The sequence below is a fragment of the Homo sapiens genome, chromosome 8 (assembly GCF_000001405.40).
Source record: "Homo sapiens chromosome 8, GRCh38.p14 Primary Assembly".
NCBI lineage: Eukaryota > Metazoa > Chordata > Mammalia > Primates > Hominidae > Homo > Homo sapiens.
In genome coordinates this window covers 100,544,761-100,571,717 of record NC_000008.11, presented here as the reverse complement: position 1 = coordinate 100,571,717, position 26,957 = coordinate 100,544,761, and the positions used below count along the sequence as shown (strand labels likewise).

The 26,957-nt window shown below is 42.0% G+C and overlaps 1 protein-coding gene and 1 pseudogene across 4 annotated transcripts in view, besides 4 other annotated features; both read left to right on the top strand.

Moving 5' to 3' along the window:
- Positions 11,656–11,795: an enhancer, noted in NCBI's record as "active region_27714". NCBI's record gives its function as "activates an Ori minimal core promoter by ATAC-STARR-seq in GM12878 lymphoblastoid cells {active_cell/tissue: GM12878}" and the evidence as "EXISTENCE:reporter gene assay evidence [ECO:0000049][PMID:35858748]".
- Positions 11,656–12,057: a biological region, named in NCBI's record as "Sharpr-MPRA regulatory region 13822".
- Positions 11,763–12,057: an enhancer, noted in NCBI's record as "tiled region #13822; HepG2 Activating DNase unmatched - State 1:Tss, and K562 Activating DNase unmatched - State 1:Tss". NCBI's record gives its function as "activates a minimal TATA promoter and a strong SV40 promoter by Sharpr-MPRA in HepG2 and K562 cells {active_cell/tissue: HepG2 | K562}" and the evidence as "EXISTENCE:reporter gene assay evidence [ECO:0000049][PMID:27701403]".
- Positions 11,796–11,965: a silencer, noted in NCBI's record as "silent region_19419". NCBI's record gives its function as "represses an Ori minimal core promoter by ATAC-STARR-seq in GM12878 lymphoblastoid cells {active_cell/tissue: GM12878}" and the evidence as "EXISTENCE:reporter gene assay evidence [ECO:0000049][PMID:35858748]".
- ANKRD46 (ankyrin repeat domain 46) overlaps positions 11,959–26,957 on the top strand; it is a 50,008-nt gene continuing 35,009 nt past the window's right edge. For 3 of the 4 annotated variants that reach the window (NM_001270379.2, NM_001270377.2, NM_198401.4), the window contains exon 1: positions 11,959–12,007. The gene's annotated coding sequence lies outside the window, so the exon portion shown is untranslated. Of the gene's footprint in view, positions 12,681–26,957 lie in introns of all 4 variants that reach the window. The other variant, NM_001270378.2, reaches the window with a different exon arrangement.
- GAPDHP62 (glyceraldehyde 3 phosphate dehydrogenase pseudogene 62) lies at positions 19,985–21,178 on the top strand (annotated as a pseudogene).

Here is a 26,957-nt window from a genome sequence, read left to right as displayed (position 1 = left end):
AGAAGAAGGAGCTATTAGCCTTTTTGGGGGATTACTGGGCCTAGTTTTATCTAGGAATTTAGGAGTTTAAATCACTTCTGGATCAAAACACTTGATCATTGCGTAAAAAGTCAGAACTTCAGCTGCCAGAGTGAGCTCCCCAGCTGCAGGTGCTGGGAGAAGATGGCGAGTGAGACCCCCTCATCACTCCAGGAGGTGAGGACCTCACTCTGCGGTAGTCCCTGCCACCGGCACAGCCACCCCAGCACTGGAGAAGCCATCAGCTGGTGCGTGGCTTTATCAGGTAGGTGACTGTTGATATCCTTCAGTAACTGCTAATCCTAAGGGGTGTGACATGGCTTTGCCAATTACCAGCCTATGCCTTTGTCCACTCCTCATATCCCTGCAAAAATGGTCCCCAGGCAACCACATTTTCTCCTGCAATGTCTATATCCACCATCACTTCTTTCCACTTCTAGACATTCATATGAGATTTTACTGCTGTTTATACTCCTAAAATAACTGGCATAAACAATTTGCCCACAGGCAAACACAACTGAGTTTGAAAATTTCACACAAATCATAATGAGAATAACTATTGGACAGAGGTGATTAAATTGTGGTCAGGCCCCACCGAGCCCCTTTGGGCCCTATGGAGGGAAGCATGTGCAGGCTTTGATTGAAGAGCTGACAGCAGAGAAACATGCTACAGGGAGTGGCAGTGCCCAGAAGAGTTCCCCAATAAAATGGAAATTGTTTCTAGGGGATCATGCCACCTGGGGAATGCAAGAAGGAGATATTCATGAGCAGGGAGCCTCTTTACCCCCAGGACTGACACAGACTGTAAGGTGCTGCTGGTTTCTATAGACACTTGGACAGTGCACTGTGAACAGCTCTTGATTGACCAATAAGGAGCTGCTCTGTTTACAGAAAGCATTTCCAAAGTGAATGGACAACATCCTCCTGTTTGGAAGGCTGCTGCTTTGATCAAAGAAGGTAAAAACAGATTAGCTGAGGGGGCTGAACTGCATGCTGTCTTTCTTACAGTAATGGAAGAACTGAACAGTAGTAGAAGCCTCCATGTTTGGGTTTTTACTGATTCGTGAGCAGTGACCAATGGCCTGGCCATACACTCAGGCAAGAGGACTATGGAAATCTGATCTATTAAAGGAATGTCCATATGGTGCATAGCCCTATAGAAATTTGAGGGGTGCATTAAAGGAGAATAAGTCAATGCCCATCAGAAGAACTTCCTCCCCAGGCTGAGAAGGTGACTGGAATAGACAAGCAGTTATCTCCGTGTCTGCCCTTGTGGTCATCACCTGGTCCATGAAGTGAGTGGATATAGGAATACTGCAGCAGTGCAGAGATGGGATGAATCTAAACATGTTCCTTTTGCATCTTTGCAGGCACAGAATGCCAATAAGAACTGTCCTGTTTGTCAGCAAGAGAGACAGAAACTTCCAGTGGCTATGGGGCAGATTGCCTGGTGGGAAGGCCCTGACCAGAGCTGGCAAGTGAAACTGATGCTGGTAGCCCTGGGGGGGCTACACATTGGTCTTGACAGGAATTAGACACTGACTGTGGACTGGGCTTTGCTTCCTTAGTGGAAGATGAAAATGCTCAGAGCACCATAAAAAAACAAGAACTGAAGACTTGCATGGATTTGTACAGAAAACTGTCATTTCTTCAGACCAAGGAACAATGTATAAGCCATAATATCCAACAATGGGCAGAGAGATACCTCCTTAGAGTAATAGTTTAGTAATAGAGAAGTAGAAGGAGTATAAAACATTGGTTGTCTAGAACAGGGAGATAAATTATGAAGGGCTGGCTTACACACCTTCACAGGTAGGTGCTAACACTCAACATGAATGGGACTAAAGGAGTGTCCCCACTAGATTTTTGTGTTTTCTTTGTTTGTTTTTTTTTTTTTTTTTTTGGTTGATTTGGGAAGAGGGATTGGGGAGGATGCTGATATGACTATGCAATTCTTGCCAAGGGAGGAGTACACTAGTATAATGACTATAATTTTCTCTCTCTTCCCCAAACAACCTCAATTTTTTTTTCTCTCCTCTACCTGATGCAATGATCCTAGGACCAGGGCTACAACTACAAGTGCTGGAAGCAAGGATGATTTCTAAGCAAGAAGCTGTAACTACATTTTTAAACTTTGTATCTGAATTCCTAAGGGGATAATGGGGGCGGGTTGTGCCTTCACCCCATCTAAGAAATTGGGATCAAGAGTGAATGCAGCTATGTTCTCTGGTGGCAAAACTAGCTCACTAGTTCTGCACCTGTGTAACCTTACCCTATCTGAATGGCGGTGGATTGAGGAGGAGCTACTTGCTAGACTAGTATTGCTGCCCACAATCTAGACCAGCACAGTGGCAATTCTAATGTCCCTTCCAAAGGTGAAAAAGTTTGAGTATTAATGGAGAGAAGGAGAAAAAGTAGCTGAGAGTAAAGAAAAAAAAAAGGTTATTAATGGAAGGAAATTCAATATTACATTAATACCTCAAAAGAGTCTCAGAGCAAAAGATGACATGATGTCTCAGCTCAGTTATTCCAGATGCCTCAAAGGGTGAGGCTAGGTGCCAAGACCACTCCTGTTTTTGGCACCTGATAAGATTGAGAGGAAACCTGCAAACCTGAGTGACTTTACTCTGGGAGACATTCATACACAATGATGGACTGGACTAATTATTAATGACTGTGTGGGATTCTAGTAATAAGGCGATATCTTTTGAATTGTATGTCCTTTTGTAAAAATTATTTTTCTGTAGAGACAAGGTCTTGCTATGTTGCCTAGGCTGGTCTCAAACTCCTGGTCTCAAGTGATCCTACTACCTCTGCCTCCGAAAGTGCTGGAATTACAGGTGTAAGCCACCATGCCTGGCCTGTATATTCTTTTGATGAAAGGGATCTGTGTTTGAAAACCAGGGGGTGGCCTGATAGTTTAGAGTAAACGTTTAGTAATAGAGAAGTAGAACAACTAATTAGAACATCGGTTGTCTAGAATGGGGAGATAAAATGAAGGGCTGGTTTACATGCCTTCACAAGTATGTGTTAACACTCAACATGAAGGGACTAAAGGACTGTCCCCATCAGTGGCTGGTGGTATTATGATACATATATATTGGTTTTCATCCATGGTTCCTGGCTCATAACTCTAAAATCCCATATATATATATATAAGCTAACATCCTCCCCAGAACTAGGTCTCAGTTTACATCAGCGTGTGGTCAGCATACAGCTTGCACACATCCCCACATGGACATTTAAGCAAATTTTACATTAAACATTTCAGTTAGAAATTACCTTAAGATTACCCTCAAAGTAAAATTGAGAAGAGCTTGGTGTTCCTAATTTGTGGAAAAAACAAGTAGGTGCCAACCTTTGGTGGTAAAACAGTGGCAAAATGATTCTAAAATACCAAACAAAGGAAAACTACAAAAGAAAACTCAGCAATAGAGGCAAGTCTACTTTCTCAGCTGCTGTTTTAGCTGTCCCTTGTCCTGCAGCGTGTATTCAGTGGCCCATGAGGGGAGTGGCTTGCGTGGACGCAGGACTGTGGAAGACGGGAGAGTTCTCTCCTTCCTGTCACCCATAGTCCAAGAAAAATGTCAAAAAAGTAGGTATGCTTTTCTGTCACACACAAAAAGACATGCTGAGTTAACTTAAAAAAAGTATGGCTAACCAACGATTTCTTAGAAGATGGCTTTTAAGCTTTGTAATTGTACTTTCTCCCCACTTTATTGAGGTATAATTACATTTTGCTCATAAGTTACTTTATAATAGCTAACAGTTGTATTCTTATGAAGTAAGTTGTCTGTACCACAATTTTAAGAAAAATTAGACAGCTACAGAAAAGTACATGATGTCATTGGTGGGTTTGGGTCTTTGGTCTAGCCCTAGCCCATGTATTTTTCTGTAGGGCAAAGTCTTTAGCTAACCAAATAGCTTTACTTGTGTGATAGCTTGAAAGAGGTTAGACATTCTGTTGATTTAAAGGTGCTGACCTTAGTGATTTTGCACTGCTCCTGCACCAAATGTGGTTTCTTTCCCAGAAATGTGGTAACACACAGTTGGCTGTACTTCCTAATGGGTTTTCCATCTGTCCACACGAGCTCATATGTATTTGATGGGTTCCGAGTTGCAGCAGTTGTCTGGGCGGAGGCACTCAGAGCAGCAGGCTGAAACTCGTCCTCTGAGTTGGCTTTGCTGTGCCCATGCATGCTCTTATCCTCACTGGAAACTGGTCCTGGCAGAATTTCTGGGGAGATTCCCTTTGTCATGGTGTCTAGTGTGCAGAGGAAGAGAAGATAGAAATCTACTACTGTATTTGGGTCCTGATCAGGGGAAGTTCAGAATTTGATTTTCTACAACACAAAAATGCTGAGTAAAACAAGTGAAATGGCAGTTATTAAACTTCTTAAGTATTTGTAAAAGTCAACTACCTGAAGGCAAATTCCATTCCAAAATCAGCTATTGAATTGATACCTGGGTGTTGCCTCACAATAGCTGGTGGAGCATCATGCTCTCCAGAGGCACATTGCCAACAAGTACCCCACTTATGCATAAAGAGAAAGCGATTCCACTACCATGACTTGCACAGCACCACATTAAGGAAGAACGTAGTAAGATTATAAATTAGGGTTTATTTTTAATTATTGACTGGATACAAATCATAGTGGTTAAACCTAACATTTTTACAGGTAACTGGATTTTTATTAATCATGTAATATAAGTATTAGTTACTTTTGCAATTAACTATGGGTTGTTTGTGTCATAGATTCATAGATTTTTTTTTAATCCCCCTCCTTTTTTTAACTTCCTCTGTTTTCCCTTTTTCTTTGTCAAAATTAAAACAGGTGACAGACATGCAGTCTGGGGGTTCACAGTGAAGATAGGATGAGAAAATCTTAGGCAGTGAATTCACTACAGAAAAATCCTAAAACGTTACTACCCTACTGCAAACTGTTACCTGCGACTTAAAAAATCCTGTTGGGTGACTAACAAAACAAAAACACAAAAAGCAACTAACTCCATTTATTTTGTTAATGTCTCTTGTGACCTGCCAGATAAACAAATAAAATTCATTTTTCAGGTCTTTGAAAAATAAAAATCAGGCCAGGCATGGTGGCTCATGCCTGTAATTCCAGCACTTTGGGAGACCAAGGCAGGAGGACTACTTGAGACCAGGAGTTCAAGACCAGCCTGGGCAACACAGGGAGACTCTGTCTCTATAAATTTTTTTCTTTTTTTAAATTAGCCAGGCATGATGGAACTCACCTGTAGTCCCAGCTATTTGGGAGGCTGAGGTAAGAAGTCAGCTTGGGCCTGTGAAGTCCAGACTGCAGTAAGTCATGGTTGCACCTTGTCTCAAAATAAATAAAAAAATAAAATTATTTGGCTGGGCCTGGTGGCTCACGCCTGTAATCTTAGCACTTTGGGAGGCCGAGGCAGGTAGATTACGAGGTCAGGAGATCGAGATCATCCTGGCTAACACAGTGAAACCCGTCTCTACTAAAACTACAAAAAGTTAGCCAGGAGTGGTGGCAGGCACCTGTAGTCCCAGCTACTTGGGAGGCTGTGGCAGGAGAATGGAGTGAACCCAGGAGGTGGAGCTTGCAGTGAGCCAAGATTGCACCACTGCACTCCAGCCTGGGTGACAGAGCAAGACTCCATCTCAAAAAATAAAAATAAAATAAAATAAAATAATTTGAAGTCATTGTTAAGAGTCTTTTCTCATTCTGTTTGCCTTAAAATAAATCATAGGCTAAGAGCAATTTGTATTACTTATCCACCTATTTGTTTTTCTTATAAAAATGTCAAAAGTTTCCTTTCTTGCTGGTCATGAGTTGCTATAGTTTTAATGTATGTGTCCCTCCAAAATTCATATGTTGGAGCTTAAACCCCAAAGTGATGGTACTAAAAGGTAGGGCCTTTGGGAAAATGACTAAGTTAAGAGGGCCCTCCCTCATGAATGGATGAGTGCTCTTATAAAGGAGGTTGATGGGAACACCCTAGTGCATTTTGCCCTTTCAGCTTTTGCCACATGAGGACACAGGAAGAAGGCGCTACCTTGGAAGCAGAGAGAAGACTTCACCAGACACAGAATCTGCTGATGCCTTGATCTTGGACTTTTCAGCCTCCAGAGCTGTGAGAAATAGATTTCTATTCTTTTTGAGTGATCCAGTCTGTGGTATTTTATTATAGCAGCCTGAATGGAATAAGGCAGGAGTGTGTGTCCAAAAGATATGTTCATTCAGTTGTATTTGCAGAAAATAGTTGTCAGAGTATGACTATATCCTCAAAAGTCGGAATAGGATAGCCTCAGGCTTTACCCTGACATTGGCATCACAATTTTGTAAAGGTGGAAATGAAACCGCAGGATCAGTGTTTTGAGAGGAGGAGAGCAGAATTGAGGCAAAGTCTAATATAGTTCCTGGCATATGTTTCAAGACTGAGAAGGAGATGTGCTTTGCTTCTGTTTGAATGATTGCCAGGAGTTTGTTTTGGGCTAATGTAAAAGTTAAGATCCCTCTAAGCCTAAGATTTCAGTTCAGTTTAAGTCCCTGGGGTAAGCTAAGTTCCATTCTAGGGTTGAAGTGAACCTTTTAACAACACAGATTGCTGGAATCCTCAACTCTCCTCATTATCTGAACTGAATGGATATCCCAAAGACTTTTGGGACCTGCACGAACCCTTAACTTTACCTTTGCCCAGACTTAACAAGCCATGAACTATCCTGGTCTCAAAGGAGTTGAACTATTACAAAATTAGGAAACCAGGGCCAGAAAGGAACTGGAGGAAAGGTAAGATGAGCCTGGGCCATGAGCTTTTCTGGTGTTATCTTCTGTTACTTTTCCTTGCCTGCTTCTAAGCAAATTTATCAAACCAGTTGCTATGATTTGAATATGTTCCTCAAAAAGCATGTGTTGGAAACTTAATTCCCAAGGCAGCAGGGCTAGAAGGTGTATAGGACATATGTTAGGTAACTTGCCTAAATGTACATTCCATCATATTTTGCCTTGTGTGTGTGTGTGACAATCTGTGTGGTTCTGGCATGTGTAGGTAAGTGGAAAGAGAAATGACAAATGGATGTTATGGCAAGGAGCTGAGATCGTTTTTTTTCTTTCCAAGAGTCCAACTGTTATCTTAGTAACTTCAGAAACCCAAGGACATCTAAGATTTTACTTTGCAATTAAGAAAAGAGATCCCTTTCTGAAAGTTTTTCTTGAATATTTTTTAGTTGTGCCAGTTGCTCTAGGAAAATATTATTCTCCTGGCTTCAAATTTTTTCTCTAATAGTTTCGCAAATATGTCCGGCACACAAAACACTTCATTTTTTTTTTTCTGGTTGTTTAAATGTTTAAAATTGTTGGGGAACGGAAATGACCCTAACTTTGGTGTAGATAAATATGTGCTACTTGTCTCATCTCCTGTACTTACTCATTCCATTGTTATGCCTGAGAACCCACAGTGTTGTGGAAAACACCTGATTCGTGCTAGCCGGGCTTGAGAGATGGGAGACCCACGGAAGCAACACCTGTCAGGAGCATGTCTCCCTCTCATGGTCATTCGTCAGTACTACAGAAACCAAATGCACCCTGGAACAGGAAAGCAGAGCTCAAAACACTTACTTCGTAGGTGCGGTGTATTTTTTTCAAACACCTCCCCATTCTGACCATATCGCCTTTCTACAGAGACAGCTAGTTACATTGGGATAGTTGCTAGATCACTTTCAGTCTCTTCTGATGAGCATTCAAGTATAATATTTTTGAAAGTCTGTCTGCATTTTTTAAGACTGGATAGGAATTTATATAACGAATATAGTCAAAACCCTTCTTATCCCTAATAAGAAAACTTTCTAAATGAAAAGCCTACCCAAAGCAAATATTTCCTTTCACTTATTCATTCATTCACTCAATTGTATCTAATACAGCGATTCTCAACTCAATCCTGGCTGCACATTAGAGTTCCCTGAGCAGCTTTTAAAAATGCAGATGCCTGGGCCGTGCTTCCAGATGATTCTAACTTGATCTTGGCTAGGGCCCAGGCCCTGTTTTTTTTTTTTTTTTAGACAGAGTCTTGCTCTGTGGCCCAGGCTGGAGGGCAGTGGCACGATCTTGGCTCATGGCAACCTCTGGCTCCCAAGTTCAAGCAAGTCTATGCCTCAGCCTCCCAAGTAGCTGGGATTACAGGCACCCACCACCACGCCCGGCTAATGTTCGTATCTTTAGTAGGGATGGGGTTTCACCATCTTGGCCAGGCTGGTCTTGAACTCCTGATCTCATGATCCACCCGCCTCGGCCTCACAAAGTGCTGGGATTACAGGCGTGAGATGCCGCGCCCGGCTGGCACTGTTATTTTTTAAGCTGCTGCATGATTGTAACATGCTGCCAGGTTGAAAACTACTAAGCTAATATTCCCAAACATGTCTGATGTGCCAGTCACCGTGGTGGTGCTAAGGATTCAGTGGTAGAGACACTGCCACAGAAGGTGATAGCTTTCTGCCATCAGGATTCACAGGCCAAACATACCGTCTCCTCTGTCTAGAATACTTCCCTTGTTCATTACATAATTAATTCCTCATGCTTTGCATCTTAGATTAAATATCACTTATTCAAAGACATTGTTGCCCTTCTATCTAAATTAGCTCCCATATTGTTTGCCCTCAAGGAATCCTTTCTCTTTCGCTTCATGACACTTATCTCGGTTGTAATTACAGGTATTCCTCCGCCATTGGAACTCTCACGATCAAAACTCAGGACCAGATAGATTTTAGTAATGAGGAAGAAGAGGCAGACTTACCTGAAGAGTGTAAAGTTTAAGCTTCAGGGCTCTTGTGGTAGGCTGGATAACAGATCCTCAAAGATGTCCACATCCTAATCCTAATCCCCAGAATCTATGAATATGTTGCTTTGCATGGTAAAAAGAACTTTGCAAATGTGATTAAGTGAAAGATCTTGAGATAGGGAGATTATTCTGGATTATCCAAGTGTGCCCAATATAATCACAAGGGTCCTTATAAGGAGACAGGAGAGTCACAGAGGAAATGCAAGGACAGAAGCAGAAGTCAGAGGGGTGTAAAAATGCTCTACACTGCTAGCTTTGAGGATGGAAAAAGGAGCCATGAGCCAGGGACGTAGGTGGCCTCTAGGAGCTGGAGAAGGCATGGCAACCAACTCCCCTGAGAATCTCCAGAAGGAAAGCACTTCCCGCACTTTGATTTTAGCTCAGCGAAACTGATTTTGGACTTCTCACCTCTTGAACTGTAAAATAATCCTTGTTTTAAAGTATTAAATTTAGGGTAATTTGTTACAATGACAATAGGAAACCAATATATAGCCCTCCCTTGTTCAGGCCCCTTCCAAGGCCCTGGGAAGCAGTGCTGATATGGTTATATGTTTTTGTAAAGCTTGCAAAATTAAAATACTTTACCTACAATTGATTAAGATTTCTCTCTTTCCACTGAGACTTCCGGAGTATTCTTCTACTGGCTAACATTGGAGTGACTACAGGCATTTTTGGGATCCAGCTAAACAGAAATGCAGCTGGGGGTACTTTGGTTTGCATTTAATGGGAGACGTTCATGTGGTTCGTGGTCACTTCCATGCACTATTAACTTATTGCTGGAGAGTAGGAATGGCTTCTGCAAATGCTCCTGTATTAGTCCATTCTCACACTGCTATGAAGAAACACCTAAGACTGAGTAATTTATAAGAAAAGACGTGTGATTGACTCACAGTTGAATCACAATTCTGCATGGCTGGGGCAGCCTTAGGAAACTTACAATCATGGCAGAAGGCACTTCTTGACAGGGTGGTAGGAGACAGAATGAGTGCTGAGCAAAAGGAGAAGCCCCTTATAAAACCATCAGATCTCATGAGAACTCACGCGCTCTCATGAGAACAGCATAGGGGAAACTGCCCCCATGATTCAATTATCTTCACCTGGTCCTGCCCTTGACATATGGGTATTATTATAATTCAAGATGAGATTTTGGGCAGGGACACAGCCAAACCATATCAGCTCCTAACAGCCACTGTGTCAAAGTGCCCAGGTGTGGTAACATGAAGGAGCCATAGAATATGTGCAGCATGCAGTTCACTTTAATCTCATCAGAGAAAAAAGCTGTCTTCACCATCCCTACATTTTTTCATATCAATCAAAAGCAGTAATTCATGAAGAGGAAGAGATAAATTTGAATAGAAGTAATGGAGAGGCTCTCAGATTGTTGGATGAGTCAACTAATGAAGAGTAAATCTTATTAATACATTGGGAAAAGCTTTAATTTCCTTGCTAATTTGTCATAGTTTATAGGCATCAGTGAAGATATTATAAACTCAATACACAACCAGAAGGAGGACATCAATAACAAACTGATTAATAAATGTCATCAATTTAACAAGTAATATTGCTGATTAGTCATAGCACAATAAAATGTGAAATGCCCTAAGATCTTATAACTTTTTTTTTTTTGAGATGGAGTCTTGTTCTGTCACCCAGGCTGGAGTGCAGTGGTGAGATCTCGGCTCATTGTGACCTCCGCCTTTTGGGGTTCAAGGATTCTTGTGCCTCAGCCTCCTGAGTAGCTGGGATTACAGGTGTGCAACACCGTGCCTGGCTAATTTTTGTATTTTTGTAGAGCCAAGGTTTCACCATGTTGGTCCGGCTGGTCTCGAACTCCTGACCTCAAGTGATCTGTCCACCCCAGCATCCCAAAGTGCTGGGATTACAGGTGTGAGCCACCGTGCATGGCCAGATCTTATAATTCTTACATGAAAGAAATGTAATAGTGATTTCCTCTAATATGACAATAGTCCTAAACCTTTACATGACACTTTCAAGAACAAATTATTAGATGGTGTAGGTGGTCCTTGAATGAATGAACCATGAGATACCCTAGAGCAGGGGTGTCCAATCTTTTGGCTTCCCTGGGCCACATTGGAAGAAGAATTGTCTTGGGCCACACATAAAATACACTAACACCAGCAATTGTTGATGAGCTAAAAAAAAATTGCAAAAAAAAAAAAACTCATAATGTTTTAAGAGAGTTTATTAATTTGTGTTGGGCTGCATTCTAAACTGTCTTGGCTGCATGCAGCCTGCAGGTGTGGGCCAGGGGTTGGACAAGTTTGCCATAGAGCGTGGCTTGGTTGGATGAGGGTGCTAGAATTCAGAGGACGGTCACTGTGCAGTGAGAGTTGTCTTGGCTGTAGGACTGGAGTTGGTAAAATGAAAAAAAGAAAAAACTAGTTTTGCATGAAAGAATGTTTCCAGCATATGAATGTCCCACCACACTTTTAGTTAGTCTTGGCTGTACATGTTGCAATAAGTCAAGGAACCCTACAAAGTAGGATGGAAGGATTCAAACTGCGAATCGCTTGAACCCGGAAGGCGGAGTTGGAGTTTGCAGTGAGCCGAGGTTGAGCAACTGCACTCCAGCCTGGGCGACAGAGTGAGACTCCGTCTAAAAAAAAAAAAAAAAAAAAAGATTCAAACTGCTTTTGAAAAAAGTAAAAATGCAGGGTTATATTTTAGAAATAGTGCAGCCAATCATTAGTGGCTATTCCTAATATGTCAATTTCGGGTCTATAGAAGACCTACCTAGAGGCCAGCAACTATTAATTGATGCTTATAGCACCTAATGAAACTGCCCTTGCCTTTGAAGCCCCCATTTAGCTAAGGGGATGGGATGTGAATTTAGAATAGGACGTGAAAAGTGCAAAATGCTCCCGGACTCAGATCGGATAAACCTCTTCTAGGCTGTCTTTCTCTTCTGAAGCCACAGTTTTGATGCTTTCCCTAATTCAGAGCAGGCTTTCCCGGAGTCTCTGACTCAGAGCAGCCCGAGCCACCGTGAGGACCGCCCACCTGCAGGGGGCGCGCCGGGGGCTGCAGCGCGAGACCGCTCTGGCCCAGCGGGGACTCCGACTACCCCTGTCTGGCCCCTCCCCTCCGCCCGTCACCGCCTCCTTGAAGCTGCCGCTGTCGCTGCTGCTCGTTCGAGTCGCAGGTACTTGGCCCGGGGCCTGTGGGCAGCGCCTGGGCTAGAGCCACTTGATATCTCCTGCACCGTCCCTGTAGCACTGGAGGTCCAGTAGGCCTGGCCGGGGCCCTGAGGGGCGAGGGTGCCCGGGCTTCCCACACCTTCCGCGGCGACTGGAGGGAGCCGGGCCGAGGAAGCGACCGCGGGTCCGTGATGGCTTCTTCGCGGTCTGTGTGTTCACGAGGGCCGGGCAGAGGCCTGCGAGGGTTCTCGTTTGCGCTTGCGGGTTAGGGCTGTGGTCCGGGGAACCCCTGGGCAGCGCGGGCAGCCCTGGCTCGCGGTTAATCGGGGGGTGGAGCGCGGAAGCCACGCCGCAGGTCCAGCTGCTCGGCCGGGGCGAGACGGTGCTTTCGCGGCGTGTGCTTGCAGGAGCGCACAGTTCAGGCGCCGGGACAAGCTGTTGGGGTGTGAGTGAGCTCTCCAGAATGGCACATGGCTCCGGGGTGCCCGGGTTAAAAGGAAGGATTTGCACACCTTCCACTTAGGGCTCGGGTAATCGCAAACTTCCTCCCTTAATTGGCTTGCAGTGCTAAAAAGCAGATCGTTCTCTCTGAGGTTTTCCCAACAGTACCTCAAGAAAATAACATCTGTTTTTTGTAACGTTCCACGGTATTCGGAATTGGCTACAGAACATAATAAGGTAAAAATATGCCATTGAATAGTAGCGCTTCTCAATCTTTAAAAAATGACGGTGGTACCTAGGAGCCTCTTAAAGAGCTGTAATATGAGTGGTGTGGGGATTATTTTTATGTTCTAGTAATAGCTATTTTCAGTGCTTATTTTATGTCAGACACGGTGCCATTGCTTTAAATACCTGGTACCTTTAATCCTTGAAGCAACCCTATCAGGTACCATTTCCATTATACAGATAAGGAAACTGAGGCACCGAGAGTCTGACTTCTCCAAGGTCAGAAAGCTAGCAAAGGCTGAGCGAGATTTGGTCTCATCTCCCTTACTTCAGTATCCCTGCGTCTGTTATCTAGCCAAACATGTAGCGCTGTCTAAGAGTTTTATCAATTAGATTTGTAGCCTGAACTGATTTCTCTCAGGCTTAGTTTTCATGGTTATATGCAGGAGTCCTACATGAACTCCTTTTTAGTTTAAAAGGAGTTTAGTAAGAAAACTGTTAGCTCATTAAGGACTATAGTGATAATAAAGTTAAACTTGGACTGGGGTTCTCACTGTGCCAGTACAATTTGATTTGAAATAGAGATGAATTTGTTTGGTTGTTAACACACTTTATTACATTTCTTCATTATTTATGTTTCCATACCATTTTTTAGTGAGTTCACTTTGCCTTTGCATTATTATGGTAGCAGTACCAGAGGGAAATCAAAGATTTTTTGATGATAGTAAGTTAATATTTTACAGAATACAGGAAAGGCACTGGAGAGAGGATGTGAAGTGATAAGGAATTTTTGGCATGTTATATAAATTGTGTTACTATGGAAAACAAAGGATTCTCACAGTTCTTTATCAAAAGGGAAATTGTATTTCCCATTGTGGAAATAAGTTGGGCTTTATAGTCCCAAACTTCTTAGCCTTACCTATTATAGATTTAAGAATTTGCATATTCGGCATTCATATAGCAAGCGTATATTGAGTGCCTTCTATGGCCAGGCTCTGTTCTAAGCACTGGGGGATGTGAGAGTGAACAAAATGAAGTCCTTGTCTTCCAGGAGCTAACATGTCACTGGAGGAAGGTGGGGTTGGGGACGATAAGCGGGATTTGTGAAAGTTAACGTATCTGGAGTCAGATGGTAACAGTTACTAGGAATAAAAATAAAGTAGCAAAGGGGGATAGGAAGCACCAAGGAAGGAACAGGTGCAGTTTTAAAATAAGGACTGGTGCCATGGAAAAGACTCAAGCAAAACTGAAGGCGTTGGGGACCGCCATGCAGCTGTCTAGGGAAAGAGCATACCAAGCAAGGGCAAAAGCCCAGAACCCTTCAGTCTTGTTAGAGGGACAGCAAGAGAGGAACAGCAAGGAGGCCAGTAGATTTGAGCACCTGGAGGGAAGGAGGGTGAGACAAGGTCAGAGAGCTAATGGGCCCAGGTAAGGACTTTTGCTTTTACTCTGAGTGAGAAGGGAGGTGTTTGGAGGGTTTTGAGCAGAGGAATGAGGGGATCTGGCTTAAGGTTTTTAAAGGATCACTCTGGCTGCTGTGTTCAGTGTTGACTGTAAGGGCAAGGATGGAAGCAGGGAGACCTGTTAGGTTGATGCAGTAATTGAAGCCAGAGAGAATGGTGGCTTAGACCAGGTGGGTAGTAAGAGAGGCAGTAAGAAGCCGTCGTATTCTGAGTATTGCTGATAGGATTTGCTTATGGTTTGGATGTGCTTATGAGAGAAAGGGTGAAGCACGACCCTGTGGCCTTTGGCCTGAGCTATTGGAAGGCTTTAGTTAAACAGTGTACTGAGATGGAGAAGACTGAGTGTGAAGGTAGGTGGAGCCAGTTTTAGTCAGGTTTGAGATGCCTGTTCAAGTGGGGTTATAGAGACGGGAGTTGAAGAGAAAGGTCCAACTGGAAATAGAAATTTGGGAAGTCACTAATGCAAGCTTGTGCAACCCAAATTTGTAAACTTACTTAAAACATTATGAGATTGATTGTATTTTTTTTTAAGCTCATCAGCTATCGTTATATGTGTGCCCCAAGACAGTTATTCCACTGTGGCCCAGGAAAGCCAAAAGATTGGCTACCCCTGCACAGAAGGGTAGTATTTAAAGCCATGAGCCTATGAGATCTAGTGTAAGGAAATGAGAATTGAGCTCTAGGGCTTTCCACATTCAGATATTGGAGAGATGAATAATTACAAAGGAGAGGCTTTTGAAGGTAGGAGGAAAAAGAAGCGAGTATGGAGTACTGAAGGCCAAGTAAAGAGTTTTTCAGGGAGAAAGTGACCAACTGTGTCTCCTCCTGCTGATTGACAAGTCAAGTAAGATGAAGACTAGGAGATGACCATTGGATTTAGTAATAGGAAGGTCCTTGGTGACCTTGCAAGAGCACTTTCAGGAGAATAGTGAGGAAGAAAACCTGATTGGTGTGGTTTCAAGAGACAACAGGAGGAAGAGCATTGGAGACTGCAGTATGGACAGCTCTTTGGAAGAGGTTAGCTGTAAATTTTTCATATGTCGGTTATTTGAAAGCACTGTAGTCGTTCCCATAGTAAATTTTTATTTCCAGCTTAAGCTACTGATTAATACCTACTACACTTGGATTGTTTTAATCAATGACTGGTGGAAATAAAATAGCTATCCTACTGCTGATCATAATAATAATGTATACTTAACTTTCTAAACCAATAAAGCGTGTCCTTTTTACGTAGTACATTTCAGAGCCCATAAAAATGCTTGGGTGGGCTGGGCGAAGTGGCTCATGCCTGTAATCCCAACACTTTGGGAGGCCGAGACTGGAGGATCTGTTGAGCTCAGGAGTTCAAGACCAGCCTGGACAACATAGGGAGAGCTCATCTCTACAAAAAACTTTAAAATTAGTTGGGCGTGCTAGCACACACCTGTGGTCCCAGCTACTTGGAAGGCTGAGGTGGAAGCATCTCATGGGCCTGGGAGATTGAGGCTTCAGTGAGCCATGATTGAGCCACTGCATAGTTTCAAATGTAGTAGGTGTATAAAAAGAATGCAATTTTTATCTTAAGGCATGAGTTCAGGTTCTTGTTTCTGCCCTCAGCAAGTTAATGTCCAAACCCAAATACAAAATAATCAAGGTACGCAGTAAAATACCAGATTTACACCATCCTGACTGGATAAATGTGCCTTTTCCATAGCAAATACAGCCATCTGTTGCATTGTAGATGTAAAATGATTAAAATATTTCAAAGTTTAGGGTTATAGCTACTGATTTTTTAAATCCAATAATTTTATCTAAAAGATAACAGGTCCTTTAGATGTGGAAATCTTTTTTTTTTTTTTTTTTTTTTTTTTTTTTTTTTTTTTTTAGCTGAGGAAAATATTAAGTTGGTGCCTTTTGTTTTGCTCTTGTTTTTTTCTCCAGGAATTTTTCATTGGTTGGCTCTCCTTTCTTGTTCTCATTGCTGTCATCTCACACATCCTTTCTAACTTTTTTCTTTTGCATAGCTTCTTAAGTTAGGCCCTTCCATCACTGATTTCCTTACTGCTTATAATTTGGATTTTAAATTTCTATTGTGTTTTTATTTAACTTATAGTCTTTTTTTTTTTAGTCCCAGTCCTCTTTAATACTGTTTTTTCCCCCACCCTGAGTTCTTAATTTTTTGTATGTCCCTGAGAGCACAGTATTTTTCTGGATTTTTTTCATTTTCTTATTGTAAGTAATTCTCAGTGGTGTGCTTTTCTTCATGTAGATCTAGTGCACCTCTTTGCTTCTGGTGTAGAATTTTTTCACTGACTCCATGTTGACTTTCTTTTGGTTTTTTTTTTATCCTTTAAAAATGAAAGAACTTCTGAGACTATAATATTGAATTTGTCATACTAGTACCATTCTACTGAAGGTTTTTTCTAGATTTCCTATAAGGAAAATAATTAGAGAACTGGGTTTTGTCTAGGCATTCTATAAAAGACACTATTGTGATGTTTGTAAAAGATTTCTATTTAAAATAACTTTCAGTACTATTAGAACTTAAGTTTATGGTTATGTCTCTGTGATAAGTACTTTTTTTTTTTTTTTGGAGATGGAGTCTCACTCTATCACCCAGGCTGGAGTGCAGTGGCACAATCTTGGCTCACTGCATCAAACGATTCTCCTGCCTCAGCCTCCTGAGTAGCTGGGACCACAGGCACACACCACCACACACAGCTAATTTTTGTATTTTTAGTGGAGATGGGGTTTCATCATGTTGGCCAGGCTGGTCTCTAACTCCTGACCTCAAGTGATCCACCTCAGCCTCTCAAACTGCTGAGATTACAGGCATGAGCCACTGCACCTGGCTAAGTACTTTTTTTTTCCTTGTGTTTTTTTGAGACAGGGTTTTGCTCTGTTGCTCAGGCTGGAGTGCAGTGGCACAATCATGGCTGAATGCACCCTCCACCTCCCAGGCTCGAGTGATCCTCCTGCCTCAGCCTTGAATATCTGGGACAACAGGCACGCACGCACCACCATGCAAGGTTTATTTTTAAATTTTTTTTGTAGAGATGGGGTTTCACACTATGTTGCCCAGGCTGGTCTGGAATCCTTAGGCTCAAGTGATCCTCTTGCTCCAGATTCCCTAAAGTGCTGGGACTATAGGTGTGAGTCACTGCACCCAGCCAAGTACTTTTTAAAATTAAACTGGTAAACAGACATTAGAATTACCAATGTAAACTTTATATCTAAAACCAAAATCAATTACAAAGGATCATTATTTTCCAAAGTAGATACTTTTTTTTAGTGCTGTTCAGTTTTTCTGAAGCTTATCTTTGTTCACAAGGATTGTTAGCACTTCCACCAAATCAGTGTTTAGAAACCTTAAATAATTTAACGTCTGACTTGCCAGTACATTATTAGAGAAACAATTCCAAGACCAAAACATGTTGAATAAGCAGGAGATATACACCAATTTGATTTTAAAATGGACAGCTTTCCTGTCTCTGGCTCTCTCTCATGTTGCCTTAAACACACATATGCTGAAGAAATCATATACAGATACTTGCATGCATTTAATAAACTATCCAATAAGTGGTGCTTTTAATAAATTCTGAATACAATCAATTAAAAGATTTGTGCACATTATTATTTAGGTATGGTACCAAGTAAATCAGAAACAAATGCAAGAGCACGAATGGTTTATTTAGCTACCTTTCCATATTGGGTCTTGATGACATTAGATACTCTGCTGTATTTTATTTTTTAAAGTAAACATATTAAAACTAGCCAAATAACCTATATTTTCTTTTATTACATTATGATGCCTTTTTTGGTTTGCCTGAGTTTTTTTGGTTTTTGTTTGTTTGTTTTTGAGATGGAGTTTTGCTCTGTCTCCCAGGCTGGAGTGCAGTGGTGCAACCTCAGCTCACTGTAGCTTCCGCCTCCTGGGTTGAAGCGATTCTCCTGTCTCAGCCTCCCAAGTAGCTGCGACTACAGGTACATGCCATCACACCCAGCTAATTTTTGTATTTTTAGTGGAGACGGGGTTTCACTATATTGGCCAGGCTGGTCTCAAACTCCTGACCTCAAGTGATCTGCTGTGGCCTCCCAAAGTGCTAGGATTACAGGCATGAGCCACCACACCCAGCCTGCGTAAGTTTAATTAAAAAAACAAAAATATTCTGAGTGTGACTTTGTTGAAACAGTTTATATAGGCATTTTAACTTTGGTGGCAGTTTTAGTCCTACTATCAGTCATCTTTTTTCCAGTAGCCCAGCATTGCTGCTACGTTAATTTAAATCTGCCCCTCTGCCCTCTCCTCAGTCTTTTGGCTGTATTTTGCCCATTGGCTGTTAATGCTGATTTTTTTTAAACACAACAAAAACTGTGGATTGCTTATAAAAGTTTTCCCACAATAGGCTTATTTTTATTTCACTTGTTTATTCAGAATATCCTTTCAACTTGTTTTTCGGTTATCTCCTTGGTCAGTTCTAGAATTTACCAAGCTCTCAGTCAGTGTTCAATCTCCTGTGCTGAACATGAGATTTCTTAGGCCTGGATTCAGCTCCTTCTCAAAGAGAGTTAAATATCAGTGCACTTCACCCTTTGACCTTTGTCTTTTGCTGAAACATGTGCCACAAACCATATTTTTTTCCTTTTTAGGAAGCAATGACAGAAGCATATAAGAGTGGAAATCAAATAGTAATGACCACTTCAGATTCTGTGTCATTTAGATATTTTGTTCTAAGTAACAGAAAACCTAATTTAAACTGTCTTAAAAAGATCCTTTATTGATACCCGTAATAGGAAAAGCCCAAGGCTTGACCCTTTTATCTGTTCTGCCTCACTCTGTATACTTGCTATCTATGAAATATAAAAATGACAAAAGCAATTTTAGGTATCTCATTTATACACCATAGAAAAATAAAGTGAATGTATTTCTCTGGCATTCCAAGCAAAGAGTTTTATTGGACTGGTCACTTGCTCACCTTTAAATAAACCACAATAGCTAGGGAATGTGATATGTTACATGGCCTTAGATAATAAAGACTGACCCCTCCAAAGCATATGAGCAGTGAAGAGTAGTGGAGTTGGGTACCAGTGGAACAGGTAGGAATGGAGTCTAGGTAGACAGGGGACATCTGAGGAAATTAAAAACACATAGTTGATTTTCAGTCAAAATAATATATTAAATTCATGTTTGGGCACCTGGCAATAACTGATGTTAAAAAAAAAAAAGCGCCAAAGTATAGTCAGAATAGTAAATAGGATAACCATCTCTATAGAGTACAAGCACAAAGTAATGAGTGAGGCTGTAGCTGTTTTGGAATTGGCCAAAATGGAAATCATCCAATATCTGATCTCAGACGAAAAGGAATTAAATTACAATTTGATAACAGAAAGATAGCCGGAAAATCACTGAATACTTAGACATTAAATAACACATTTCTTTTTTTTTTTTTTTTTTTTTAAGACAGAGTCTCACTCTGTCACCCAGGCTGGAGTGCAGTGGCGCGATCTTGGCTCACTGCAACCTCCACCTCCCAGGTTCAAGCTATTCTCCTGCCTCAGCCTCCCGAGTACCTGGGACTACAGGTGCACACCACCACACCTGGCTAATTTTTGTATTTTTAGTAGAGACGGGGTTTCACCATGTTGGCCAGGCTGGTCTTGAACTCCTGACCTCAGGTGATCCGCCCACCTTGGCCTCCCAAAGTGCTGGGATTATAGGTGTGAGCCACAGCACCCAGCCCAAAATGTTTTCAAAAGACATATATGATGAAGACTGTTATCCAAAATACACAAAGAACTCTTAAAACTCAACAAAAAGAGAGGTGGGTATGGGTGCTGGCTGAGGTCACTCAGTGCTGACCATCCTCTTCTCAAAGCCATGTCTCTAAGACATCATGGTGAAGGTGAAGGCCAGAGTAAATAGATTTGGGCCATATTGGGCACCTGGTCACCAGGGCTGCTTTTAACTCTAGTAAAGTGGATATTGTCACCATCAATGACCCTTCATTGACCTCAACTACATGGTCTGCATGTTCCAGTATTTCTACCCATGGCAAATTCCACCACACCGTCAAGGCTGAGAATGGGAAGCTTGTCATCAATGGAAATCCCATCACCATCTTCCAGGAGCAAGATCCTACCAAAATCAAATGGGGTGATGCTGAAGCTGAGTATGCCGTGGAGTCCACTGGCATCTTCATGACCATAGAGAAGGCTGGGGCTCACTTAATGGGGGAGCCAAAAGGGTCATCATCTCTACCCCCTCTGCTGATGCCCCCATATTCATAATGGGCATGATCCCTGAGAAGTCTGAAAACAGCCTCAAGATCATCAGCAATGCCTTCTGTACCACCAACTGCTTAATCCCCCGGCCAAGCCCATCCATGACAACTTTGGCATTGTGGAAGGACTTGTGACCACAATCCATGCTGCCACTCCTGCCCAGAAGACTCGATGGCCTCTGTGGGAAACTGTGGCATATGTCTGTGGGGCTCTCCAGAACATCATCCCTGCATCTACTGGTGTTGCCAAGGCTGTGGGCAAGGCCATCCCCGAGCTGAACAGGAAGCTCACTAGCATGGCCTTCCGTGTCCTTCTGCAAACGTGTTGGTTGTGGACCTGACCTGCCATCTGGAGAAACCTGCCAAATATGATGACATCAAAAAGGTGGTGAAGCAGGCGTCAGAGGGCCCCTCAAGGGCATCTTGGGCTACACTGAACACCAGGTTGTTTCCTCTGACTTTAACAGTGACACTCACTCTTCCACTTTCGATGCTGGGGCTGCCATTGCCCTCAGTGACCACTTTGTCAAGCTCATTTCCTCGTACAACAGTGAATTTGGCTACAGCAACAGGGTGGTGGCCCATATGGCCTCCAAGGAGTAAGACTGCTCGACAACCAGCCCCAGTGAGAGCACAAGAGGAAGAAAGAGACCTTCAGCTTCTGGGCAGTCCCTGCCATGCTCAGTCCCCCACCACACTGGGAATCTCCCCTCTTCACAGTTTCCATGCAGACCCCACAAAGAGCTCTATCTTGTCGTGTACCATCAATAAAGTCCTCTGTACTCAAAAAAAAAAAAAAGATAGAAAATGAACAACCTGATTTTAAAAATGAGCCAAAGATCTTAATGGACACCTCATCACAGAGGATATACAGATGGCAAATAAACATATGAAAAAGATGCTCCACGTCATATGTCATCAGGGAAATGCAAATTAAAACAATGAGATCCCACTACACACTTACTAAAATGGCTAACTAAAATCTAGAACGCTGACAACACCAAATGCTGGTGAGAATGTGGATTAACAGGAACTCTTATTCATTGCTAGTGGGAATGCCAAATGGTACAGCTACTTTGGGAGACAATTTGGTGGTTTCTTAAAAAAACTAAACATACTCTTACCATCCAGCAATCATGCTCCTTGGTATTTACCCAAAGGAGTGAAAAACTGTCCACACAAAAACCTGCATGTGGGTGTTCATGTCAGCCTTATTCATAATTGCCAGAACATGGAAGCAACCAAGATGTCCTTCAGTAGGTGAACAGATAAACTGTAATACATACAGAGAATGACATATTATGCAGTCCTAAAGAGAAACTATGAAGCCATGAGAAGATACAGAAAACACGTATTATGAGGGAAAGAAGCCAATCTGAAACAGCTGCATACCGTATGATTTCAGTTATATGACATTCTGGAAAAGGCAAAATTATAGAGACAATAAAAATATCAGGGGTTGGGTAGAGAGAGGGATGAATAGGCAGAGCCCAGAAAATTTTTAGGGCAGTGAACCTAATCTGCCTGATGCTATAATGATGAATACATGTCATTGTAAATTTGTCTAAACCCATAGAATGTATAACACCAAGAGTGAACCCTAATGCAAACTATGGACTCTGGGTGATAATGATGTGTTAGTGTAGGATCATCAGTTATAACAGAGGTACCCTCTGGTGGTGGCAGGGTGGGGGAATATGGGAAATCTGCTCAGTGTTGCTGTGAACCTAAAACTGGTCTAAAAAATAAAGACCGTTTTAAAAAAGATAAAGTAATAAAAAATATGCTCACAGCTCAGTTGTGATACTAGTAATGCAATTTTTATGCAAAATTATGCTTTTGAAGAAATCAGAATTCTCAATTTTTTGGTGATTATTTAAATTTTCCTCATTTTTATATGGTTTCTTTTAAAATGTTTCACTTTTTTCCCTGATTTATATTAGAATGGCAATGTATGCTTAACACTTGTATTTTTATAAGTTTATGAGTTTTTAATGTTCTGAAATGTTATTTTTTACTTCAAATGTGTTGAACATTTAACTTGTTAAAACATTCCAGGCTGGGCACAGTGGCTCACGCCTGTAGTCCTAGCACTTTGGGAGGCTAAGGCAGGAGGATCACTTGAGCCCAGGAGTTTGAGGCCAGCCTGGGCAACATAGTGAGACCCCATATGTTTTAAAAAAAAATTCTGAACTAAAAAAAAAAAAAACAGCATTAATGCTAGTATTCCATATTATATAAAATAAGTGTGAAATACCCAAATTACTTTTTTTTTTCATTTCTGGGTAAATCTTTAAAATTTTTTTAATTAAAAAAATTTCTTATTTCTAAAAATCTTTGTGGATACATAATAGGTGTATATCATATTGCATTTCTATCTAATATGTACCTGCTTATGGGAGGAGTCAACAAATGTTTATTATTTCTAAATATTCCTATTTCTCAGACATTAAAAGATGTTCAAGAAGTAGTCATATGAACGTGATTTGATTTCTTTTTAAATGTAATATCAGTTTTATTGGTACCCCATTTTTGCTATACATTTTTAGTTTAGTTATATTTTTTGTCCACCTTCAGTGAATGCCTTCATTTTCATTGTCATTACTTAAGCATTTATACTGACTTCCAGACTCCACTGAAAGACTTGTTTGAATGCATACTTTACGTTTGGACCATCCATTCACTTAACAGAAAAGATACAGGTTGAGCACTTAGTGTGTAATAGGTAATGCGAAATACTGTGGATAGTGTGGAACAAGACAACTCATGCCCTCAAAGTTTACTTTCAAACTGAGGAGATGTACAATACATGATTAAGCACATAAATAAGAAAATTATAGATTATAATAAGAACACGAACAAAATAAGCAGGGTGATGTGAAAAGTAATGTGGGGAGAAGTAGGTGACATTTGAGCTGAGACCTGAGTGATTCTCCATCCAGGGAAGTACATTCCAGCAGGAAGAAAAGTAAGTGCACCTCTGAGGCAGGAAGGAGGCAAGTCAGGGGTAGAGTATAGAGAACAAGAAGGGGGAATGGTTAAAGATGAATTTGGAGAGGTAGGCAGGAACAAAATTATCAGGGCTTTGTAGCCTGATAATTTATCCTTTATTAAGGATTTTGGCTGTTGTTTTAAATACATTGGGCTGCCATTGACATATTTCAGGTAAGGGAATGAAAGGAAATGGTTTGTGTTTTTGGAAGATTTTTTTTTTTTCTGTATTGAGAACGGATTGTAGAGAGGCAGAAGTGGAAATGGAGATTAGCTAAGGTAGAAGGCCATGCTTGGGCCATGGGAGCTACTAAAAATACTTTTAGCTTGGAAGTGATATTCACAAAGCATGGGATGAAAAAATGTACATGATAGCTTAATGAGATTGACTGGGGTAGAGGGTGACAGAAGAGAGAATGAGACTGAGAGACCAGTTAGGAAGACATTGGAAAACTTCATGTATAAAATTGTTCGTTAGGGCACAAATTAAGAGTGAAAGCAGTGTCAATAAAATGGAAAAAGAATTTGCAAGACAATGAAAGACAGAACTGACAGGCCTTTGTGTCTGATTCACTGTCAGGAGAAAAGAAAGCATCAAGGATTTGAAGCCAGGGTTTCTAGGGAGATATTGTTACCATTGGCAGAGAATTTTGGAGCAGTGTCTGGAGTATATGTATGGAGTGCTGGTTTTGTTTTATTTTATTCTATTTTTTTGAGACAAGGTCTTACTCTGTTGCCCAGGCTGGAGTGCTGTGGCATGATCACAGCTCACTGCAGCCTCAAGCTCCCAGGCTCAAGCCATTTGAATTAGTCTGTTTTCACGCTGCTCTAAAGAATTTATAAACAAAAGAAGTTCAGTTGACTCACAGTTCCTCATGGCTGGGGAGGCCTCGGGAAACTTAGAATCCCTGTGGAAGGTGAAAGGTAAGCAAGGCACATCTTACATGACAACAGGAGGAAGAGAAAATGCAGGGGAAACTGCCACTATTAAAACCATCAGATCTCATGAGAACTCCTTCAGTATCATGAAAACAGCATGGGGAAAACCGCCCCCATGATCCAGTCACCTCCCACCAGGTCCCTCCCTTGACATGCGGGAATTACAATTTGGGATGAGATTTGGGTGGGGACATAGAGCCAAACCATATAGTTCTGCTCCTGGCCCCTCCCAAATCTCATGTCCTTTTCACATTTCAAAACCAATCATGCCTTCCCAACAGTCCCCCAAAGTCTTAACTCATTCCAGTATTAACCTAAAGTCCAAGTCCAAAGTCTCATCTGAGACAAGGCAAGTCTCTTCCACCTATGAGTCTGTAAAATCAAAAGCAAGTTAGTTACTTCCAAGATACAATGAGGGCACAGGCATTGGGTAAATGCTCCCATTCCAAATGGGAGAAATTGGCCAAAACAAAGGGGCCTCAGGCCTCATGCAAGTCTGAAACCCAGCCAGGCAGTCATTGAATCTTAAACTCCAAAATCTCCTTTAACTCCATGTCTCACATCCAGGGTATGCTGATGCAAGGGGTGTGCTCCCACGGCCTTGAGCAGCTTTGTCCCTGTGGCTGCTTTCATGGGCTGGCATTAAATGCTTGTGGCTTTTCCAGATGCATGGTGCAAGCTGTCAGTGGATCTACTTTTCTGGGGTCTGGAGGACAGTGGCCCTTTTCTCATAGCTCCACTAGGCAGCACTCCAGTGGGGACTCTGTGTGGGGGCTCCAACCCTACATTTCCCTTCCACACTGCCCCAGCAGAGGTTCTCCATAAGGGCTCTGCCCCTGTAGCAGACTTCTGTCTGGACATCCAGGAATTTCCATATGTCCTTTGAAATCTAGGCAGAGGTTCCCAAAGCTCAACTCCTGTCTTCTGCACACCTACAGGCCCAACACCACATGGAAGCTGCCAAGGCTTGGGGCCCGCACCCTCTGAAGCAATGGTCTGAGCTGTAGTCTGGCCCCTTTTAGCCATGGCTGGAGCCGGAGTGGCTGGGACACTGGACACCATATCCTGAGGCTGCAGAGAGCAGCAGGGGCCTGATCCCAGCCCACAAAACCATTTTTTCCCTCCTAGGCCTTGTGGCCTGTGATGGGAGGGGCTGCCATGAAGATCTCTGACATGCCTTGGGGAAATTTTTCCCATTTTCTTGGCTATTAACATTCTGTTCCTTGTTATTTAGGCAAATTTCTGTAGCATGCTTGAGTTTCTCCCCAGAAAATGGGGTTTTCTTTTCTACCAGTCAGGCTGCAAATTTCCAAACTTTTATGCTCTGCTTCGCTTTTAAACAGAAGTTCCAATTGCAGATTATCTCTTCGTGAACACATTTGTTCACTTTGAGAAAAATCAAGGCCACATCTTTAATGCTTTGCTGCTTAGAAATTTCTTCTGCCAGATACCCTAAATCATCTCTCTCAAGTTCAAAGTTCCGCAGATCTCTAGGTCAGGGGCAAAATGCCACCAGTCTTTTTGCTAAAGCATAGCATGAGTGACCTTTACTCCAGTTCCCAAAAAGTCCCTCATCTCTTTCTGAGACCACCTCAGCCTTGATTTCATTGTCCATATCACTATCAGCATTTTGGTCAAAACCATTCAGCAAGGCTCTAGGAAGTTCCAGACTTTCCCATATCTTCTGAGCCCCCCAAACTGTTCCAACCTTTGCCTGTTACCCAGTTCCAAAGTCACTTCCATTTTTTCAGGTTATTTTTATAGCAGTGCCCTACTCCTGGTACTAATTCTCTGTATTAGTCTGTTTTCACACTGCTATAAAGTTACTACTTGAGGCTGGGTAATTTATAAACAAAAGGTTTAATTGATACACAGTTCCACATGGCTGGGGAGGCTTCAAGGAACTTAGAATCATGGTGGAAGGTTATGGGGAAGCAAGGAACATCTTACATGGCGGCAAGAGAGAATGTGTAGGGGAAACGACCAATTTTAAAACCGTCTGATCTTATTTATGAGCCCTCCCTCACTATCATGAGAACAGCATGGGGGTAACCACCCCCATGCTCCATTCACCTCCCACCAGGTCCCTTCCTTGATATGTGGGGACTACAATTTAAAATGAGATTTGAGTGAGGACACAAAGCCAAATTAAATCACTATCCTCCCACCTCAGCCTCCCGAGTAGCTGGGACTACAGGTGCACGTCACCACACCTAACTTTTATATATGTATATTTTAGAGACAAGGTCTCACTGTGTTGCCCAGGCTTGTCTCGAATGCCTGGGCTCAAGCAATTCTCCCACCTCTGCCTCCAAAAGTGCTGGGATTTCAGGCATGAGTCAGCACACCCAGCCTCTGGAGTGCTGGTTTTAGATATGATATTAAGGCCATGGCAAAATATCCATTTGGGACTGTTGATCTGCCCTATGTACATACTCATGTGCCAGTGTACAATACTGTTATTATCTCCTTGGGCTTCTCTGCTTGTTCACTCTGTGAAGAGCACCAGACTCTATGAGTTGCTCCCATTGTTGCCTCTGACCCCATTCAAGGCAGAAATCCTTTTACTTGTTACCAAGATGTGGAATAAGAAACTAAGAAAAAATATATAGCATCTTATATTTGTATATTTCATT